The 23,574-nt window shown below is 37.7% G+C and overlaps 1 protein-coding gene, 1 non-coding gene and 1 pseudogene across 16 annotated transcripts in view, besides 1 other annotated feature; 2 read left to right on the plus strand and 1 right to left on the minus strand.

Annotated features, from left to right (window-relative positions):
- Window positions 1-23,574, minus strand: part of CCDC158 (coiled-coil domain containing 158) — a 108,831-nt gene that overhangs the window by 69,561 nt on the left and 15,696 nt on the right. For 13 of the 15 annotated variants that reach the window (XR_938729.3, XR_938730.3, XM_011531911.2 and 10 more), the window contains 6 exons: window positions 20,539-20,681; window positions 13,670-13,887; window positions 1,957-2,066; window positions 1,489-1,816; window positions 1,063-1,139; window positions 11-121 (listed from right to left, as the gene is read on the minus strand). Coding sequence is in view for 13 of the 15 variants with exons in the window: in XM_011531911.2 (XP_011530213.1) it covers window positions 11-121; window positions 1,063-1,139; window positions 1,489-1,816; window positions 1,957-2,066; window positions 13,670-13,887; window positions 20,539-20,608 (914 nt within the window). In the remaining 2 variants the exon portion in view is untranslated. The remainder of the gene's footprint in view (window positions 1-10; window positions 122-1,062; window positions 1,140-1,488; window positions 1,817-1,956; window positions 2,067-13,669; window positions 13,888-20,538; window positions 20,682-23,574) is intronic. The other 2 variants (NM_001042784.1, XM_011531917.2) reach the window with 2 other exon arrangements.
- Window positions 5,779-6,278: an enhancer, noted in NCBI's record as "H3K27ac hESC enhancer chr4:77309531-77310030 (GRCh37/hg19 assembly coordinates)". NCBI's record gives its function as "activates a minimal SCP1, AML or CMV promoter by ChIP-STARR-seq in primed H9 embryonic stem cells {active_cell/tissue: H9 hESC(primed)}" and the evidence as "EXISTENCE:reporter gene assay evidence [ECO:0000049][PMID:30033119]".
- On the plus strand, window positions 18,625-19,020 carry RPL36AP18 (ribosomal protein L36a pseudogene 18; annotated as a pseudogene).
- On the plus strand, window positions 19,477-19,547 carry LOC124900891 (small nucleolar RNA SNORD50). The gene has a single exon (XR_007058526.1). It is a non-coding gene; the product is annotated as a small nucleolar RNA SNORD50 (small nucleolar RNA).

Here is a 23,574-nt window from a genome sequence, read left to right on the forward strand (position 1 = left end):
AACCACATACTGAATGATTTCCATTTGACTCTGGATACTATTGGCTTGGCTTCGAGCACTGCTAGCTTTCTCAGTAAGTCCTGTTATTTCAACTTCATGTTCACTTATTAACTGCTCAATCCTATAAAAAGAATGTGGTGATTGTCATTTGATACAGAAGATTTTCCTGACTATGAATTATTTTAAAAATTAATGATTTTCAATACTCTCAAATTTAGTATTTTGCTTTGCTTTTGTATATGCTACTCTTTTAATAACAAGTGTCTACAACAAGTCCAAAACCCTTTATCCAAATCTTTTGGGAGTCAGATAGTTTTGGAATTCAGAATTTTTTTTTATTTTACAATGGTAATAAATTGCAAGTAGTAAATATTATATGACACCCCCAATGAGATCTAGGGAAGTGTCCCATTAACGAAACATATCATGAATGCAATAATTTATAAGTATTCACACTAAATTGTAGACTATGGAAAGGTTTACATTAGCTCTGGTCAGGTTTTTCCAACAAATGAGTGACAAAAACTCTCTCCTTCACCAAACTTTAGTCAGACTCTTCTGAGGCCTCTTTTCAACTATGCCTCAACCTTTGGCCTGCCTAGCCCAGACCTAGCAAGAATCTTGCCAAGTCAGTTTAGTCCTCCCACCCTCGATATCTGATCAAGTTCTTCATCCCCTGCCTTTGATATCTAAGCCCTTGGCCTGCATTTAGCAAGAATCCCCCTACTCTTGATGCCTTTTCTCAGTAATTTTCCATCCACAGACCCCCTCACCATGCCCCCTGGCTATAAATCCCCATTTGGCCTTGTATTGGGAGCTGAGCTTAATCTCTCTCTCTCTCTCTCCTACAGCAATACTCCTATTGTAATCATCTCAAATGACATCTTCCTTACGATTTTATAACCAGGGTCAGGAAAACAAAATGTTAACATGAGTTTCCTATAAACCTATAAAAAAACTTATGTGTTTCAGAGCTGTTTAGATTTTGGAATTGTGGCCGAAACACTGTAAAACTGTGGTTTAGTTTCGCTAGGCTTTTCCATACCTCAGTCAGAAACCTACCTATCTTGGTGTTGTTGCAGAAGTAGTTCTATTTTGTTCTGTGATTCAGATTTCAGTGCTTCAAGTTGATCCTCTACCTGGTTTTTAAAAAGAGACACTGATTTAGTTACTGGTAAATATAAGGCTTGGAAAATCTGGAGATTTTCAACTAAAGGAATGCTTTAAATGCAAGTAAAAATAATACTAAAATCAGATACATTCTATCCCCATATTTTATTAGATCTTTTACTTTGTCTATACTCTCATGAAGCTATACGGTAAACCAAGCTAGTTCCTATTATGAGAGATTACTGTGGAAGTAACTTCTGTTATTTCAGAAAAATGAGAACTTGGCTTATTTTAAGAATTTTAAAAATTATACATCTAATGCTATTCTCTTAATGCATTTTAATATAAAATTATTTAAGTAGCATTCTCACCACTTACTGGAAATATCCTCCCTTTAAGATAAGAAATCTCTGTGTCTAATTCTCTTAGTATTTTACTAATAGCTGAGCCCAAGCTGCGGAAGTGCAGAGTAGACATGCTGTCATGTTCACATATTTTTTTGCCTGAGGCTTCTTCAAAGTCAACTAGGATTGACCGGATTTCTTGAAGCACTCCCTCATGACTAAGCATCATTTTTCGTAGTTGCTCTATCTGTGTGTTGCTGTCTTTCAGCATGTCCTCTTTAAGGCATTTGGCAGCTTCAAGTTCATGAACTGTATTTTGAAGCTGATTTCTTAAATCCTCCTGGGACTGACTCTCCCTTCGTCTATGAAATAAATGAAAGAAAATAAATAACATTGATAAAACTCATATTCACACAAGTAGTTTTACTACAAACAGTAAAACTTTAAAATAATTTCACATAATGAAAATATGTGACTTTAAAATAATTTCACAAATCCCAACCTGATGTCAGCCATAGCATCTCTCTCCATTTGCATCTCCTGAAGTTTTGTTTGCAAATCAATGACTGACTGCCTCAAATAAAACTTTTGTTTCTCATGCAATTCATTGCTCTGAAAAAAAAAGCCATGCAAATTAATCTTCATTAGAGAAACACATTTCCTTATAGCTAGTAACTTCCAAAGATCTATATATATTTTCAATTCATTTTTATGTCTACTTCCTTCCCTCACTGCTGCAGTTCAAAGTCTAATTAATAATTTCTCGCTTAGATTATGAGAATACCTTAACCAGTCTCCCTGTATCAAGCTTGACCCCTTTTAATCCATTCTCTACAACCAACACTCTGCTTCTAAAACAAATCTTACTTCCAGCTCAACATGGAGATAGAAATACATTTTTTACATGAAAACATGAGAATTAGTTGAAATTCTGTACATAAAAAAGTCAATCCCTACCTCCTACCCACTTAAAATACCTGGCAGCAAACACCACCATCCAAAACTCCAGGTGTCCTACTACAGAGAAATACACAAAGATTTCTAAGATCAGGCACTGAGGGATCTCCCAGAATAGGAGATGCTGTAGGAGATGCTCCCGTACATAGTTGATGCCATACCTAATCCTCCCAAAGCAAAGCCATCAAATTCTGCCCATGAATAGAAAGTTTGCCATCAGATTTTTTATTGCCTAATTGTAGAATATAAACAGAAAACCAAAAACCACTGAACACTTGAAGAAAAATCCCAAAGTAATAAATAGATCAAGATCAAATAAACAAGCAAACACCCAGAAAAAAAAGAACCAGAGGAACTAAAGAAAGATAATGCAAGGAAAAGAAGAACGCTTCAAAAACTTGTATTTACAGAGAAATTCAAGAGACATTATCAGCATAAAGCAAGAATAAGATGCTATGCCAAATAAGTGATCAGGGGAGAAAGGGTCACGAAAATTAAAAATATGGTTGTAAAGAAAAAAGTTCAATTCAATAGAAATGTTGCAAGTCAAGAAATTTCCTCCAAAGGTAGAAAAAGTAGACAAATTTTTGAAACAAAAAGTAAGAGATGTAGAGATTTAACCGAGGTGAAAATATGTTTCCAACAGGAACTTTGGAAAGACAGAACTGAAAAAACAGAAGAAAGGAAACGGCCAAAGAAAAAAACGCAACTGAATTCCTCCAAACTGAAAGGCACACATCTACAGACGAACAGGTCTACTGAGTCCCTAGCAAGGTGAATGAAAAAAAACAAAAATTCATATCTAAGTACATTATGGTGGCATTTCAGAGACAAAGAAAAGATGTTAAAGATGAAATTCAAGTAAGTAAAAAATAAAAAATCATCTACAAAGGAACAAGAACCAGACAGACATCTTCTCAGTAGCGATACTGAATGCAAAAGCACAGTATCTTCAAAAGATTGAGAGAAATTACTTTCAACTTTACCGAGCCAATTATCAATGAAGTACGAGTGTAAAATAGAGTCATTCTCAGACATGCAAAGATGCATAAAATATATCTCTTTCTTAAGAATTTAACAAAGATGTGTTTTGACTAAATGAAGAAGCAGATCGAGAAAGAAGACAGGAGAGGCTGGAGGCAGAGCAAGATGGCGGAATAGAAGCCTACACCATTCATTCCCTAACCCCTGCCATCCTCGATGGGAACACCAAATTTTAAAAACTATCTGCACACAGAAGAGCACCATCATAAGAACACGAAAGTCAAGTGAAAAATAGTGAGGCAGGAAAATAGGGTCTGGAGGCAGGGAACATAAGGCTGATTCACACTTCAGCTGTGACAGGAAATATCCTCTCCTTAGGGTGTAGGCTGTAAATGACTTTGTAACTTTATTTCATTCTCCCCATTTACATAGGGCATACCCCCAAGTAACCAATGGAATCCTCTAGGGAGTATTTAAACTCCCAAAAATTCAGTAATGGGGCTTTTGAGTTCCTATGCTCAGGCCTGCTCCCACACTGTGTAGTGTACTTTCATTTTCAATAAATCCCTTCATTCCTTCCTTGCTTTGTTTGTGTGTTTTGTCCAATTCTTTGTTCAAGATGCCAAGAACCTGGACACCCTCCACCATTAAAAATATTATCTGGTTTTAATTCATATGGTGGAAAGAGGCATTGAGGAGGGCAGGAGAGACAGTCTTGAATCTCCAATGCCACCCCTTCCACCATCCCCCAGCAGTGGCTGTGCAGAGAATCTGCATAGGGCAGGGAGAGCACAGCAACTGGGGGGTTTTATATTTAACTCAGTGCTGCCCCGTCAGAGGGGAGAATCAAGCCATGCTGAGCTTAGAGGGAGCATTTGGACCAGCCCTAGCCAGAGGGGAATGGTCCATTTCAGTGGTCAGAACTCGAGTTTCTCAGCAAGCCTCACCACCACATGCTGAAATGCGCTGGGGTCCTAGGTAAACTTGAAAGGCAGCCTAGGACACAAGGACTGCAATTCTTAGGCAATTCCTAGTGCTAGGCTGGGCTTAGAGCCAGTAAACTAGGGTGGCATGTGACCTAAGGAGACCCAAGCTGGTGTGGCTAAGAGAGTGCTTGCACCATCCCTTTCCCAACCCCAGACGGTGTAGCTTGCAACAACAAAAGTGCCTCCTTCCTTCTGTTTGACGAGGGGAGAGCAAAGCGTAAAAAGGACTTTGTCTTGCATGTTAGGTACCAGTTCAGCCACAGTAGGGTAGGGCAGTGGGCAGAGTCATGAGGCCCCCATTCCAAGCCCTACCTCCCAGACAATAATTCAAGATACACCCTGGGCCAAAAGGGAACCCATTGCCTTGAAGGGAAGAACACAGTCCTGGAATCGTTCATTACCTGCTGACTAAAGAGTCCTTGGGGACCAGGCATGGTGGCTCATGCCTGTAATTCCAGCACTTTGAGAAGCTGAGGTAGGCAGATCATTTGAGCTCAGGAGTTCGAGACCAGCCTGACCAACATGGTGAAACCCTGTCTCTACTAAAAATACAAAAAAAATAGGCTGGGTGCGGTAGCTCACGCCTGTAGTCCCAGCACTTTGGGAGGCTGAAGTGGGCGGATCATGAGGTCAGGAGTTTGAGACCAGCCTGACCAAGATGGTGAAACCCCATCTCTACTAAAAATACAAAAATTAGCCGGGCGTGGTGGTGCGCGCCTGTAATCCCAGCTACTCAGGAGGCTGAGGCAGGAGAATCATTTGCACCTGGGAGGCAGAGGTTGTAGTGAGCTGAGATCGCACCACTGCACTCCAGCCTGGGCGACAGAGACAGACTACAACTAAAAAAAAAAAAAAAAAAATCAAACCAAACAAAACAAAAAAATTAGCCAGGCATGGTGGCACATGCCTGTAGTCCCAGCTACTTAGGGGGCTGAGGCAGGAGAATCATTTGAACCCGGGAGGGAGAGGTTGCAGTGAGCTGAGATGGCACCACTGCACTCCAGCCTGGGTGACAGAACATAACTCCATCTCAAAAAATAATAAAAGTAAACATAATAAAAATAAAGAGCTCTTGGGCCCTGAATAACCAGCAGTGATACCCTGAGAGTATGCTTTGGGCCTTGGGCTCTGAGATGTGCTGGCTTCCGGGGTGACCTAGCACATTCCCAGCTATGGTGGCTACAGTGAAAGACTCCTTCTGTTTGAGAAAAGCAGAGGGAAAAGTAAAGAAGACTTTGTCTTACACCCTAGGTACCAGCTCAGCCACAGTCGGGTAGAGCAACAAGCAGGCTCTTGGAGTCTCTAAGTCCAGGACTATGCATTGGGACCTGGGCAGGGCAGCATTTCTGGACCTGCCCTGTGTCAGAAGGGAACCTAGTGCCCTAAAGGGTGAGTTCCAGGCCTGGCAACATTCACCACAAGCTGATCAAAGAGCCCTTGGCTTTAAGTGAACATCAGTGGTGGCCTGGCAGAAACCCCATGGACTAGTGGTGGTGGTAGCCACAGGGAGAAGCTCCTCTGCCTTTGGAAAGGGGAGGAAAGAATGGGACAGACTTTGTATTGTGGTTTGAGTCAGCTTAGCCGCAGTAGAAAAGAACATAAGGTAAACTCCTAAGGTATTTGACTCCAATCCCTGGCTCCTGGACAGCATGTCCAGACATGCACAGGGCCTAGGGGATCTTATCACCCTGAAGGGAAGGACCTTGGACAAGACTCAGGGCAGTGCTGACTTCAGGTCTGACCCATCACATTCCCAGTGGTGGCAGCCACAGGAGTGCTTGCATAACCACACCCCCAGTTCCACGTGGCTCAGCACAGAGAGAGAGAGAGAGACTCCATATGTTTGAGAGAAAGGTAAGGGAAAAGAACAAGAGTGTCTGCCTGGTAATCCAGAGAATTCTTCCAGATCTTATCCAAGACCACCAAGGCAGTATCCCTATGAGTCTGCAAAAACCATAGCATTATTGGGCTTGGGGTTTTGAATACCTGGAAAGCCTTCCCGAGAAGAACAGGCACAAATAAGCTCAACTGTGAAGACTACCACAAATAACTAACTTCAATGCCCAGACACCAAAGTACATCTACAAGCATCAACACCATCCAGGAAAACATGACCTCACTAAATGAACTAAGTAAGGTACCAGGGACCAATTATGAAAAAACAGAGATATATGACTTTTCAGACAGATAATTCAAAATATCTGTTTTGAGGAAATTCAAGGAAATTAAAGACAACTCAGAGAAAGAATTCAGAATTCTATCAGATAAATTTAACAAAGAGATTAAAATAATTAGAAAGAATCAAGCAGAAATATTAGAATTGAAAAATGCAATTGCTGTATTGAAGAATGCATCAGATTCTCTTAATATCAGAAATGATCAAGCAGAAGAAAGAATTAGTGAGAAGACAGGGTATTTGAAAATATACAGTCAGAGGAAACAAAAGAAAAAAGAAAAGAAAACAATGAAGCACACCTAAAGCTCTAGAAAATAGCCTCAAAAGGGCAAATCTAAGTTACTGGCCTTAAAAGGGAGTTAGAGAAGAAGATAGGGGTAGAAAGTTTATTCAAAGGGAAAATATCAGAGAACTTCCCAAACCTAGAGAAAAATACCAACATTCAACTACAAGAAGGTTACAGAACATCAGCAGATTTAACTCAAAGAAGACTATCTCAAGGCAATTAATAATCAAACTCCCAAAGGCCAAGGATAAAGGATCCTGAAAGCAGCAAGAGAAAAGAAACAAATAACATACAATGGAGCTCCAATACATCTGGCAGCAGGCTTTTCAGTGGAAACCTTACAGGCCAGGAGAGAGTGGCATGACATATTTAAAGTGCTGAAAGAAAAAAACCATCTACTGTAGAATAGTATATCTGGTGAAAATATCCTTCAAACATGAAGGAAAAATAAACACTTTTCTAGAAAACAAAAGATGAGGAATTTCATCAACACCAGACCAGACCCATCCTACAAGAAATGCTAAAGGGAGTTCTTCATTCTGAAAGAGAAGGATATTAATAAGCAAGAATAAATCATCCAAAGGTACAAAACTCATTGGTAATAGTAAGCACACAGAACAATATAACACTGTAATTGTGGTGTGTAAACTTCTCTTAAGTAGAAAGGCTAAATGATAAACCAATCAAAAGTAATAATAACTTTTCAAGCCATAGATAGTACAATAAGATTCAAAGAGAAACAACTAAAAGTTAAATAGTGGGGGCACAAAGTCAAAGTGTAGAGTTTGTATTAGTTTGGTTTTCGTACATTTGTTTGTTTATGCAATCAGTGTTAAACTGTCATCACTTTTTAAGTGATGGTTTTAAGATAATGGTTTATAAGAGAGTATTGCAAGCCTCATGGTAACCTCAAAGGTAAAAAAACATACAACAGATACGCAGAAAATAAAAGCAAGAAATCAAAGCATGGTAGTGGGTTATCAGAACTTATTAACATTAGTGTCACTAGAGTTGGTATAAAACCAACTGCTAAATTTGACTGGCTTAAAAATAAAGAAATCAAAGCATACCACCAGAGAAAAATCACCTTCACTAGGAGGAATACAGGAAGGAAAAAAAGAAGGAAGTGAAGACCACAAAACAACCAGAAAACAAATAACAAAAATGGCAGGAGTAAGTCCTTAGTCATCAATAACAACATTGAACATAAATGGACTAAATTGTCTAATCAAAAGACATAGAGTGGTTGAATGGATTAAAAAACAAGACTCAATGATCTGTTGCCAACAAGAAACACACTACACCTACAAAGACACACATAGCCTGAAAATAAAGGGATGGAAAAAGATATTCCATGCCAATGGAAACCAAAAAAGAGCAGATGTAGCTATACTTATATCAGACAAAATAGATTTAAAGACAAAAACCATAAGAAGAGACAAAGAAGTCACAATATAATGATAAATGGGTCAATTCAGTAAGAGGATGTAACAATTTAAAATACCTATGGAGCCATGACTGCAGCACCCAGATATATAAAGCAAATATTATCAGAAATAAAAGAGAGATAAGCCTCAATACAACAATAGCTAGAGACATCAACACCCCACTTTCAGGACTGGATAGATCATTCAGACAGAAAATCAACAAAGAAACATAAAACCTAATCTGTACTATAGACCAAATGGAGCCAATAGATATTTACAGAACATTTCATCCAAAGGCTGAAGAATACACAGCCTTGTATACACACAGGAATAGACACAGGAATGTTCTGGGCAGAATACATTCCTCAGCACATGGATGATTCTCAAGGAGAGACTATACATTAGGTCATAAAACAAGTCTTAAAACATTCAAGAAAACCTGAAATAATATCAACCATCTTCTCTGACAACAATGGAATAAAACTACAAATCAATAACAAGGGGAATTTTGGAAACCATACAAATACACAGAAATTAAACAATATGCTCCTAAATGACCAGTGAGTCAATGAAGAAATTAAGAAGGACATTTAAAATTGTATTGAAACATATGATAATGGAAACACAACATCCCAAAACCTATGGTATACAGTGAAAGCAGTACAAAGAGGGAAATATATAGCTATTAAGTGCCTACTTCAAAAAAGAAGAAAAACTGCAAATAAACAATTTAAATGATGTATTTTAAAGAACTAGAAAAGCAAGAGCAAACTGAACCCAAAATTAGTACAAGAAAAGAAATAATAAAGATCAGAGCAGAAATAAAATGAAAAAAATACAAAAGATCAATGAAACAGAATGTTGGTTTTTTGAGAAGATAAACAAAATTGACAAACCTTTAGCAAGACTAAGAAAAAAAGAGAGAAGACCCAAATAAATAAAATCAGAGACAAAAAAAGGATACATTACAACTGATACTGCATAAATTCAAAGGATAATTTGTGGCTACTATGAGTGATTACATGCCAATGAACTGGAAACATCTAGAAGAAAAGGACAAATTCCTAGACACATTCAACTTACCAGGATTGAACCCTGAAGAAATCTAAAACCTGAACAAGTCCCAGTAAAGAAAAGCCCAGGACCTGATGGCTTCACTGCTGAATACCAAACATTTAAAGAAGTAACACCAATTATACTCAACTGTTCCAAAAACATAGAGGAAGAAGAACTTCTTCCAAACTCATTCTATGATGGCAGTTATTACCCTGATACCAAAACCAGACAAAGACACATCAAAAAAAGAAAACTACAGGTCAGTATCTCTGATGAATACTGATGCAGAAATCCTTAACAAAATACTAGCAAGCTGAATTCAGCAATACATTAAAAAGATCATATATCATGACTAAGTGGGATTTATCCCTGGGATGCAAGGATGGTTAAACATATGTAAATCAATCAATGTGATACATCATATCAACAGAATGAAAAACAAAAACCATATGATTATTTCAATTGAGGCTGAAAAAGCATTTGATAAAGTTAAACATCTTTTCAGGACAAAACTCAAAAAAAATGGGTATAGAATAGAAAATAATGAAGCACACTTACAAGATCAACATAATAAAAGTCATATATGACAGAACCACAGCTAGTATCATACTGAAGGGAGAAAAATTGAAAGCCTTTCCTGTAAGATCTGGAACATGACAAAGATACCCACTTTCACCATTGTTATTCAACATAGTACTGGAAGTCCTAGCTTGAGCAATCACATAGAGAAAGAAAGAAAGGACATCCAAATTGGAATGGAAGAAGTCAAAATATCCTTGTTTCCAGATGATATAATCTTATATTTGGAAAAACCTAAAGACTCCACCAAAAAAAATGTTAGAACTAATAAGCAAATTCAGTCAAGTTGCAGGATACAAAGTTAACATATAAAAATCAATAGCATTTCTATATGCCAACAGTGAGCAATCTGAAAAAGAAATCAAAAAAGTAATCCCATTACAAGTTCCACAAATAAAATGAAATACTAGGAATTAACCAAAGAAGTGAAAGACCTCAACAATGAAAACTATAAAATGCTGATGAAAGAAATGGAAGAGGACACTAAAAATCAGAAAGATATCCCATGTTCATTGATTAGAAAAATCAATACTGTTAAAATGTCCATACAATCCAAAGCAATCTACAGATTCAATGCAATCCCTATAAAAATACTAATGACATTCTTCACAGAAATAGAAAAAACAATCTTAAAATTCATATGGAATCACAAAAGACACAGAATGGCCAAAGCTATCCTCAACAAAAAGAATAAAACTGGGGGAATCACATTACCTGACTTCAAATTACACTACAGAGCTACAGTAACCAGAACAGCATGGTACTGGCATAAAAACAAACACATAGAACAATAGAATAGAATAGAGAACCCAGAAATGAATCCACTCACATACAGTGAATTCATTTTCAACAAAGGTGCCAAGAACATATATTAGGGAAAAGACAGTCTTTTCAATAAATGGTACTGGGAAAACTGGATATCCATATGCAGAGGAATGAAACTAGATCCCTATCTCTCACCATATTTAAAAATTAAATCAAAATGGGTTAAAGACTTATATCTAAGACCTCAAACTATGAAACTCTATGAGAAAACATTGGGGTCAACTTCTCAGGCACTGATCTGGGCAAAAATTTCTCGAGTAATACCCTACATGCACAAGCAACCAATGCAAAAATGGACAAATGGGATCACAAGTTAGAAAGCTTCTACACAACAAAGGAAACAATCAACAAAGTGAAGAGAAAACCCACAGAATGGGAAGAAATACTTGCAAACTACTCATTTGACAAGGGATTAATTACCAGAATATATAAGGAGCTCAAACAACTCTATAGGAAAAAATCTAGTAATCTGATTAAAAATAGGCAAATGATTTGAATAGACATTTCTCAAAAGAAGAAATACAAATGGCATATAGGCATATGAGAAAGTGCTCAACATCACTGATCATTAGAGAAATGCAAATCTGAACTACAATGAGATATCAACTCACCCCAGTTAAAATGGTTTTTATCCAAAAGTTAGGCAATAACGAATGCTGGCAAGGATATGGAGAAAAAGGAACCCTTGTACACTATTGGTGGGAATGTGAATTAGTACAGCCACTATAAAGAACAGTTTGGAGGTCTCTCAAAAAACTAAAAATAGAGCTACCGTATGATCCAGCAATCCCACTGTTGGGTATATACTCCCCAAAAAGGAAATCAATATACCAAAGAGGTATCTGCACTCCCATGTTTGTTGCAGACTGTTCACAATAGCCAAGATTTGGAAGCAACCTAAGTGTCTATCCACAGATGAATGGATATAGAAAATGTGGTACTTATAAACAGTGGAGTACTGTTTGCCATAATAAAGAATGACATACTGTCATTTGCAACAACATGGATGGAACTGGAGGTCATTATGTTAAGTGAAATAAGCCAGGCACAGAAAGGCAGACATCACATGTTCTTGCTTATTTGTGGGATCTAAAAATCAAAACAATTGAACTCATGGAGATAGAGAGTAGAGGGATGGTTACCAGAGGGTGGGAAGGGTAGTGGGGGAGTGAAGGAGAAGTGGGGATGGTTAATGGGTACAAAAAAAATACAACGAATAAGACCTAGTATTTGATAGCACAACAGGGTGACTATAGTCAATAATAATTTAATTGTACATTTTCAAATAACTAAAAGAATATAATTGGATTGTTTGTAACATGAAGTATAAATGCTTGAGAGGATGGAAACCCAATTTTTCATTATGTGATTTTTTTACACATTGCATGCCTGTACCAAAATAGCTCATGTACTCCATAAATATATATACCTTTTTGTTTAATTAAAAAAAAAGAAAGAAGATAGAAAACAGTGATTCCTGGAAACCATGGATCCAACCTGGAAAGTAGTGGCAGGAGTCTTTGGAAAAGAGTTATACAAGATACCTAAGAGAAACTAATCTAGACTGAGCAAAAGGTCAGAAGACACTTGGAGTGTCCTGGGTCAAAGGAGGATATAGAAAATCTATATGATATGTTTTTTTCTAATAAGGATATGTAAAGGCAAATAGTGTAAGGAAAAAGGCAATTAGGAACCCCAGTAAAAACAAAAACCTACACAAGAAGGGAAATTTACTGATTTAACACTTATTTATTGAAGGCCAATTAAGTGTCATATACTCTGTTAGGGGATAAACATAGAAAACAAATTAAGACACTGTTTCTTCTCCTCATTAGTGCCTCTGTGCTTCGTTTGTCTATATATACAACTTCATTAGTGTATTTATCATAGGTAATGCCACTGTTTATATGACAAGCTCCCCTCCCAGACTATGAATTCCTTGTAAGTCCTACCTTATTCATTTTTGTATCCCTGTGCATACTGGGGTACATAATTTTCAACACTTAATAAAATTGTAGATTTTTTTTTCCTAAAAGTGCTCACACAATCTGATGAGGTAGAACAATGTGGTAATGAGTAAAATTAGATGTACTAAATACTGCAATAAATGTGCACAAATGGCAGTAACTGTACAGAGGAGAGCACACCTAATGTCATCTAGAGGAAAGGCTTCAGAGAAGAAAATGCATGGGCTGAGTCTTGGTGCATAATAAGAGTTTGCCAGGCAGACAAGGTAGAGAAGAGAAAATGGCCTGGGCAAAGGCATGCAGGTCTGGAATAGCGCAGTATATCTAGGGAAGAGCAAGTGGCCTGATACTACCAGAATAGGTACCAATGGAGAATGGGTAGCATATGAGGCTAAAATGTACCAGGGAGAGGTTAGAGCATGAAGAGCTTTGTATGTGGCAGTAATGAGTTTGACTTTTAGACTGTTAACTACTGGGACCAAATATGCAATTGTAAAGCCAGTTTGATTCTACGTAATGTCCACTTGAAATTTTTAGCAAATAACTTCTAGATGCTATTTAGCTATAATGTATACACACATATCTAAAAACCTACCCTCTACCATTGCTTTGTAAAGAGAAATCAGGTATCATGATAGCAGGACAGCAGGTCTATGCCAATTATTAACTATAAATGCAGACAAATGCTACTTATTATAATTTTGAGTTATTCAAGTTTCATTAAAATTTATATCATGAAACCAAGATGTTTTGAATAATTATTTAAAAAAGAAAAATAAATATGTAGACTTTTCATTAGCCCAATTTTAATACCGAAAATAGAAGGCACAGGTCAAATTAACAAATTTAACCAATAAACCCATTTGTTAGTTTTTTCTTCCAGGAAGTTGTATAACTGGCTTTACAACTACATACTGGATCTCACTGTTGTCCCCCAAATAGCATCAGGTGCTAGAAGAGAAGGCAACTCACTTCATTTAGTCTTCTCTGTAAATCTTTGACTTGATGTGAATATTCTTCCAAAACACGTTCAAAGTGTTCCTTTCCAGGAGATGGGATGATTTTTCTAGGAGAATCAAGTTCCACTTCATATTTAGGGAAAAAAGGAACCTGTGTCAAAGTCCCAGCTGAAGATGTGTTTTCAATTATTGTACCACGAATAGATGACACAAAAAATGAACTTGAAGAACCTAAATATTAAAGAATTCATTAATTAACTTTTCGTTTTTTTTGAGAAGGAGTTTCACTGTTATTGCCCAGGCTGGAGTGCAATGGCGCGATCTTGCTCACTGCAACCTCTGCCTCCCGGGTTCAAGCAATTCTCCTGCCTCAGCCTCCTGAGTAGCTGGGATTACAGGAGCGTGCCACCATGCCGGGCTAATTTTTTGTATTTTTAGTAGAAACGGGGTTTCACCATGTTAGCCATGGTGAAACCATGGTCTGGTCTCGTACTCCTGACCTCCTGACCTCAGGTGAGCTGCCCACCTCGGCCTCCCAAAGTGCTGGGATTACAGGCATGAGCCACCACGCCTGGCCCATTAATTAACTTTTTCATAAAATAATTTTGTGCACACTTTATGCTAACTGATTCCCTTATTGAACCCCGAAGAAGCTCAAGGTCTCAAGGGGAAAATACGCATGTGAAAGGATAAAGCAATTTTGGCCTTAAGCTGATGCTGTAGCAGGATGAGACTGCTGGGGGCCTTCTTGGGAGAAGGTGAATGTAATTTGCATGTGAGTGAAATGTAAATAATTTGTGATCGGGGGCAAACTGGTGGTGGTTTTAAAATATGTCCAAAAATTCTTCGATATTCTTCCCTTGAGGAGGTAGAGGTTAATTTCCCTCCTCTTTGTAAGAAAGGAGAAGGAAGAGTGTATGTGTTTATGTGTGTTTGTAGCATTTGCTTAATTTTGGAAAAAAAAAACCCACCTGGAAGAATAAAACAGAAACTCATAAATGCAGTTATCTATGGGGTATAGGGATAGGTGGAAACAGAGTGGTGCAGATAGGGATGGGAGCAAGACTCTATTTAGAGCACACAGTTTACAAAGTTTTTATTTCTGAGCCATATAAATGTTAGATGTATTCAAAAATAAAATTAAAAACAAAATGAAAATAAATTAAATACTAACAGAAACAAGTAAACCTAAGTAAATAAGGAAACTAATAACCACCTCACAGAGAAAAGAAGATTGTTCCTTCAAATAACATTAGAACACAGTGTTAACATTAGAACACTGTACAGCCAGCCTTAGTTACTTAGTAAGTTGTTAATGTTGGTAGTATTGTTATAATTCTGAAACTAGTTCATGTGTATTGTAGAAGAGAGAAAATGAATAAATGTACTGAAGTCTTTGGAAATTAGTGTTTTCACTGTAGGAAAGACACAAATATGAATGATAAGGAAGAACTCTATGGTATTGGATTTGAATTTGAGTTATCAGTGCTTCTAACTTATGATTTTTAAAAATCGACTTCCAAGCTTTAGCCACTGAAAGGTCCTAGACACAATGGCACCTCAGTAGCAATATGCATGCCAGACCTTGATTTCTAAATATGATTCCCTCCTAAAAGGAACAAGGGCTTCCTAGCAAGATAGTTGAATCCAGGTCTGAGGGAACAGGCAAAATACAAGGTGAGCCTGAAACGTTTTGATGTGTCAGAGAGCAAAAAATTGGGGCCATGCCTTTAAAAAGACACAGGAGCCAGTTTAAGGAGCTGGTCAAATTTCATACAACTGAGAATCAAAAACAGTAGTGACAGCAATGCATCATAGCACTTTGAATTAAAAAAACAAAAGATGGTTCTATAATGATAATAGGGAAAGCTGTTTTATTCCTGAAGAATGTCAGCTAATAACTATGATAAAATTAGAAAATCATCAATGTAACAATTGATTTAGGCACAGATCTTTAGTTGATGCTAAAGCCACTGGATGAAGGATTATTTAGTAGCAGGATATTCACAAGGTTTCAAAAGATACACTATAGATTACATATTAATTATAAAGGGGGAAATGTAACTTTCAATTAGTGGGATGTGGCATTATGTGTTCCCTGGTGTAGGCTGTAAAAGTATATATCACTTGGCCGGGCGTGGTGGCTCATGGCTGTAATCCTAGCACTTTGGGAGGCCAAGGCAGGTGGACTGCCTGAGCTCAGGAGTTCAAGACCAGCCTGGGCAACACGATGAAATCCCATCTCTACTGAAAATACAAAAAATTAGCCAGGTGTGGTGGTGTGTGCCTGTAATCCAGCTACTTGGGAGACTGAGGCATGAGAATCATTTGAACCCGGAAAGCAGAGGTGGCAGTGAGCTGAGATCATGCCAATGCACTCCAGCCTGGGCAACAAAGCGAGACTCTGTCTCAAAAAAAAAAAAAAAAAAGTATACATAACTTATGTAAAACTCTTGTCAAATGAGTATAATCTAAATCTGAACATGAGAAACAATTTTTAAAATTCTAGAATGGGGACATTCTATGATACATTCTATAATAACTGGTCTGAACTCTTAAAGCCAATGCCATGAGAAACATACAGAGAGAGAGAGAGAGCGAATGGTTATAAATTTAAAGAGAATAAGGAGAACAAACAACCAAATACAATTCATGATCTTTGATTTGCTCCTAGATTAGTAAAAATACCTAAGACTTTTTGGGAGGACAACTGGAGAAATTTAAATATGAACACATTAGATAATACTGTATTGACAGTATTTATCTTAGATATAATAATGTGATTTGAGAAAATCATCCTTATTCTTAGGAGATGCACATTCAGGTTTTAAAGCAAGAATCATGATGCTTTCAACTAATTTTCAAATGGTCTGGCAAAATAAGATACATATTATAGGTATAGAGATAAAGCAAATATGACAAAATGTGGACAGCTGGTGAATCCAGCTGGAGGGTATATAAGATGTTCACTGTATTGTTCTTTCCATTTTTCTACAACTTCAGAAAATTTCAAATAAAAAGCTGGGAGGGGAACAACACACACTGGGGCCTATTGGGTTGCAGAAGGAGGGAGAGCATCAGGATACATGGCTAATGCATACGGGCTTAATACCTAGGTGATGGGTTGATAGGTGCGGCAAACCACGATGGCACACATTTACCTATGCAACACACCTGCATATCCTGCACATGCATCCCAGAACTTAAAATTAAATTAAATTAAATTTAAAAATAAATAAATAAAAAGCTGTCCATTGGACTTAGCAGAGGGGGAATCTGGCTACATTGGCCAGAGTGATTTCACTGGAATACTGGGAGCAAAAGCTGTAAGATAATAGCTTGTAGAGTGAATGGATGGTGAGAAAACGTAGGTAGGGAATACAGATTTTTCTTTCAGAAGGCACAGCTATGAAGGAGAGATCAGGAAGGGATAGTTTGGGGAAAAGGGTTTTTGTCATTTTGGTTTGTGTGTTATATGTATTTGTTAGTGTTTTCAGATTGGGAGAGACTTGGCATGTTTTTATTGATGGAAAGGTTCAAACGGAGAGAAAAAGGCTGAAGATATGAATGAGCAGGGTGATTTCTGAGCCAGATCTCTGAAGGGGCAGAGGAGTTGACAGTGGGGGGTGAGAAGAAATGCATGGGTAGTGAATTAAGAAGCTGACTCTTCCATTGAGCTATGGGAGAAGGAGGCATGGACTGTGAAAAATAGTGGGCCTTCAGCATAGGATATGAGGAGAAAAGAGAGGACCAGCATAGGGCTTCTATTTTCTCTAGAAATTAGGAAATAATGTTATCTGAGAGTGAGACAGAAGACAGGGGAAGGGAGTTAAGAATGGTGTGATTTTCGTATGTTTATTGCGGCACTATTCACAATAGCAAAGACTTGGAACCAACCCAAATATCCATCAATGACAGACTGGATTAAGAAAATGTGGCACATATACACCATGGAATACTATGCAGCCATAAAAAAGGATGAGTTCATGTCTTTTGTAGAGACATGGATGAAGCTGGAAACCATTATTCTGAGCAAACTATCGCAAGGACAGAAAACCAAACACCGCATGTTCTTACTCGTAGATGGGAATTGAACAACGAGAACACTTGGACACAGGGTGGGGAACATCACATACCGGGGCCTGTTGTGGGGTGGGGGGAGGGGGGAGTGATAGCATTAGGAGATATACCTAATGTAAATGACGAGTTAATGGGTGCAGCACACCAACATGGCACATGTATACATATGTAACAAACCTGCACGGTGTGCACATGTACCCTAGAACTTAAAGTATAATAGTAAAAAAAAAAACTCATACTCCTTCCTCTGCACTACCCACCCACCACCCCCCCAAAAAAAAGAATGGTGTGATTTTGAAATAAGTATTATGGAAAACTGGAAAGATATCTGGCTAAGATCATGAGAAAGATTTCTTAGCAGCATCCAATTGAGATAAGAGACTGACTTTGAAGTGGAAAATCCACATTTGTGTATTTTCCCTAGCAAATTCAAAATCTTGCAGCAGCCCATTGAATAACAGGGAAGGCAGTCAGCCTGATAAGGATTTGGTTTTTCCTGTAAGAGTGCAAGAGAATAATAAAGGGGAAAGGAAGTTGAGAATACTGGCAAGTGACTGGCTGAAATAAGGAATGATACAAAAGAAAGTGAAGATAGAAAGAGGTTGATAATTTTGGAGAAAATGGCAGAACCTAAAGCAGTTGTTCCCAACCTTTGTTATAAATCAGGATCACCTGGGGAGCTTTAAAAAAAACCCAGCGGTGCCTGAGCTCCACTCTAGACCTACTGAATCAGAGTCTCAAGGTGTGGATCTAAGCCATTTAAGTGTTTAAAATCTCAAAAAGTGATTTTTGATATGGGTACACTACCTTCATGTGCAGAAAATAGGTGTACTCTAGGAATAAAGGAGTGAGATGGTTGAAAGATAGGAGCTTAAAAGAAAAACAAACTTCTTCGCCAGTAGCACTCCCACAAGCATGGTGAATGTTCCCAAACACCCATCAGACTTTCTATAAAAAGTGTGGCAAGCACCAACTCCACAAAGTGACACAGTACAAGAAGGGCAAGGATTCTCTGTATGCCCAGAGAAAGCAGCATGATGACAGGAAGCAGAGTGGCTATGGTAGGCAGACTAAGTCAATTTTCTGGAAAAAGACTAAAACGATCAAGATTGTGCTGAGGCCTTGAGTGCATTGAACCCAGCTGCAGATCTAAGAGAACGCTGGCAACTAAGAGAAGCAAGCCCTTGAACTGGCTTGAGATATGAAGAGAAACGGCCAAGCAATCCAGTTATCAGTGTCATCTTTTGTTTTATTATGAAGACAATAAAATCTTGAGTTTATGTTAAAAAATAAAAGACAGGAGGTTGAATTTCAGAAGTCTATCAGTTCTTGGTAATAAGATCCAAAATAAGGGAGTGGGTAACTAGAGTAAAGGTTAAAATAATAAGAATTTAAGAGGTCAAAAAGCTGTAAGTCTAAGATCTCAGATGGGTCACCTATGAGGACAGTATTACAGGATGACGATGCACCTAAGCAGGGAGGGACAACCCGTGATCTAAGTGCCAGTGCCAATAATGAGTATGAGGATGTGGCTATGTAGGAAGTGAGCAAGTGGAGGTGGGCAGGGGAGATGGGTGTGGTAAGGTGGAGATGACAATGGCATTTTAGGATATATGAGCATAGTGAGAAGCAGAAATGTTTATACAATAATGGTGCTGAAAGAAACGTTTTTAAGCAGACCAGTAAAACAACAGATCAGTAACTGAGAATAACCTCTGCATGCACTAAAAGAATGAGTTACATCTGTGATTATCCTATTCTGAACCTGAATTTCTACTAGAAAAAACTTATATGAATCTGGCTTCTGAGATAGACCATTAAATTGAAAAGAAAAAAAGAATGAGGAGAGAGGGGCAAGGAAGGGAAAGTGCAGGTCATTTGCCTGATTGCCCTTGAATGCATTCTCTGTCCTTCCCCTTCTCTGTTGAGTGTTGTAGGTTCCCTTTCTAGTTCTCTTCCACATAGGTTTGCAATGGGAAGAGCTCGCAGAAGAGCTGGAGGCAGCAGAAGAGGGGAAGCCAAGGTCATGGTCCTCTCACTGTCTCAGATGAGGATCTGGTAGTTGGTGGTGGCTTCAGCTCCTTCCAGGCAGCCCTCTCCGTGGTTCTACCTCTAGCTTCCATGCCCTTGCAACAGCTGCTTTTCTCATTGTCCTTCTAGCCAAAGGCATGGTTGGTAGCAGCTTCTTGCAGTTGGTAATTTCTGTGTTGTTTCATCCCTTTAGGCTTTGCAGCTCTTTCAACACCTATGTAACCATTCCTTGTATTAAATTCCAACTATTTATTCCATCTGTGTCTGTTTTCCTGACATAGGAATCACCTTTGATTGAAATAATTTGGATCAGAGGTGATGGGGGCCTGAACCAGAACACCAGTAATGGAAATGGAGAGGGAAAAAATGGATTCAAGAGACATTTCAAAGGTAAAATCAGCAGGGCCTCAGTACCTGACTGGATGTAGCAGCAGGTGAGGAAAAAGAATGAAATGATACAAAATTCTGACTTAGGGCAGACCAAGGAAGGCAGGCTAGGAAGACACAGGAGGAAGAGAAGGCATTAGGGAGGCATGGGGCATGTTGAGGCTGAAGTACTTCAATGTAGAAACATTTTTAAAACAAAAAATTCCTTAAAAGACAAAGGAATCTCTTCTTCAAAAAGTAGAATTATAAACAATATGGTAGACATTCATGATCATGGTCTGTAACCCACATGGTTAAAAATAAAACATACTAGAAACAGCAGCTTGAATGAATATCATGGTTAATTCTATTTTTTCCCCATTTTGTTTTATAAACAGCACATACCTCCATTAGATGTGACACCACTACTTGATAAAAGATCTTCATTATTTGATTCCCAAGCTTTTGATTCCATATTAAATATTGCTACTTCTTATTAGAGATCTTGAAGTATGAATGGTTCCCTCTTTGGTTCTTTTGGTTCCTGTCTATGAAAGACAGAGATTCAATCTTTATTAACAAGGTACTATGTGAAAAAAGTTCATAGAAGAACAGGAACTGACTTTTTAACATTGAAATTTAGTAATAATTTCTTCTCCAGAAAAATAATTATTTATACAGAAATACATTATATTACATAAAATTAATAAGTGAATACAATCTTATGGTGAAAATTATTGATTTTAATAGCCAAGTACATTATTAAAGACAACCTGAAAATAAGAAACTAATTATTGTAGAGGTTTCTCATAAGGTTACACCATCAAATAATGGAAGAAAATATCTCCTTAGCAAAAACCACAAATCATCAAAATGGAAGTCACTAATAAAAGTTGAAGAACTTCTCTGATGTCAAATAGTGCTCACAATTTTCATTTAAGCTAAGAGGAGAATTCTAAATGTGGAGAACAATGGTGGTGGTCTGATTTCAAATCTTCCTCACATCTTCCCAAATAACCATAAAATCAACCAGGCACTCCACACCCCTAGCATCACTGGAAGACAGAGAGTACCACAACCTTCAAATAATCTGCAAGTACAGGGAAATCTTTTTCCAAAACAATTCCCGCAGCCCACCTACCAACACTACAAGCCTAGGGGTACAGAAAATGGGAGGGAAGAGGTAAGCAGAAGACAGAAAAAGTACAGATAAATTCATCCCCAGAGGTGAAAAAGTAAAGGCCAAAATATTAAGCACAGGTTGGAACTTGATAGTCCATAGCCCTGACAATGGGGTAAGGGTTTGAAGAAGTAGCGGCCTCAGAGAAGCAGGGTTTCTTGGGGTGAATGAGATACAGAGAGAAAAAATGGTCTCCCCTAGGGACATGGCAGTCAAGGGAAAGAAGGAAATGAGAGAGGAACACCAAGGAACCAGCAGAAGCAAAACACAAGCTAGATATACCACCCTTCTTCCATCCTTCCCACCCAACACCACTACCCATAAAGAAAGTGCATGGCAGAAGGCAGTCTCAAAGTAGGACCCTTGTCCACAAAATGAATAGGAATAGATAAAAGCAGACTATATCTACTGCAAAATGTCAGAAAACATGAATACAATCTTTTCTGCTGATGAAAAGTCTCTCCCACAAACAACAAACATGAAGCCAAAGAAAACTGAAACATAATACTCCAAACTGAACCCAGTAGGCTCAAACAAGAATTTAGGGTATGAAAAATCACCCCTGAATTAGAAATGTAAAGCCAAAGAATAAAAATGGACAAGAAACAAAACAAGCAAACAAACAAACAAACAGGAAGAGATGAAATGAGAGTTGATTAAAGTTAGGAAAGACAGAGAAATAAAAAACAAAACTATATCAGAAATAAAGACTGAATCACAAAGTACACAAGCGATGACAGGTTGTAATAAAAATTTAATAAAGGCACTGAAGAAAATCAGGAAAGCCACCATGAGAATAAAAAATAAAATAAAGAAGTAAAAAGGGTGAGAGCTGGGTGTGGTGGCTCATGCCTGTAATCCCAGCACTTAGAGATGCAGAAGCAGGAGGATAGCTTGAACCCCGGAGTTCAAGAACTGCCTGGGCAACAGGGCAAGACCCCATTCTCCACAAAAAGGAAGAAAAGAAGACAAAAAAAAGGAGTGAGAGAGGACTGAAATTGAAGACAGGTAAATGAGGTTGAATATAATACAACTGGGTTTCCTAAAGGAAAAACATGAAACAGAACTACTATTTAAAACTATAATCCAAGAAAATTTTCTAGAAATAAAGACCCGAATCTACACATTTTCCATATCAGGGAAAAGTGATCAAGAATGATAAACTCTGAGACATACACTAGTAATACAATATTAAGACTTTAAAGATAATGAAAAAATCCTCAGTGTGTCCAGGCAAAAAAGATGAAATAATTTACAAAGGCAAGAAGATTAGACTGGCACCAGGTTATTAAAAAACAATACACACAGTAAGGCAAGAGTGTAGTAGTACTTTCAAGAAGGGAAAGAAAGGACAAACCAAGGATATTACAGCCAGCCAAGATGTCCCTCAAAAGGTTTGAAGCCACAAAAAAGCAGTTTTGACTGTACCGGGACACTGTGCCGTGTGCCTCTGCTGAGGATTCTACTAGAGAAGATGAGCCTCATTCACCCAGAAGACCACTGTAAAATGTGGCAGTGTCTACAACTGGTGAAGATCTTCAAGGTTTTGTGTAGGTTCTAAATTTTTAAAAGTAAATTTGGAAAAAAAGGATAAAGACAAACATTTAAAAAACAAGACCGGGAAAACTGCAAGGGGACTGATGGTGAATATTTAAATACTCAATTATAGAGTTGAGAAAAACAAAGGTGAGGTAATGGCACTGAATAGCGATATAAATATTATGTGCATGACAAAGGAGAATAAATGTAACTAAAAACGGAAGGAAGAGGGAGAAAAGTGGAAAGTAAAAGACCATTGACTTAAAATGGAATAGACAGCAGTCAAAGGACACCACTTAAAACTGAGAAAAAGTAAAAGGTCAAGTAAGAAAAAGCAGGTTTAAAAGTGCACTATAAAAAGCATAAGTACAAAAGTAACCACTAGAGTAAAAATACAAACCTTCTTAAATGACAAAGAATTTTAAATGGAAACATAAAGAAGAAACACCAAATAAAGAAACTCTAGCAAATATAACACATTCAGTAATTACACCCACAAGATAATAGAATGATGTGAAAAAAATACCACAGAATTTAGACCAAACAGTCATGTTGATTAATGTAAGAGGACTTAACTTGCCTATTGGAAGAAAAGGATTTTCAAATTGACTTTAAAAAAAACAACCCTGCTATGTACAAAAAAGTATGCCTAAAAACACACGCAGAGATTCAAAAAGACTAAAAATAAAAGGATGAACAAAAATTGCCAGGCAAATGAAAAC

This window comes from Homo sapiens, chromosome 4, assembly GCF_000001405.40.
Source record: "Homo sapiens chromosome 4, GRCh38.p14 Primary Assembly".
Lineage (NCBI taxonomy): Eukaryota > Metazoa > Chordata > Mammalia > Primates > Hominidae > Homo > Homo sapiens.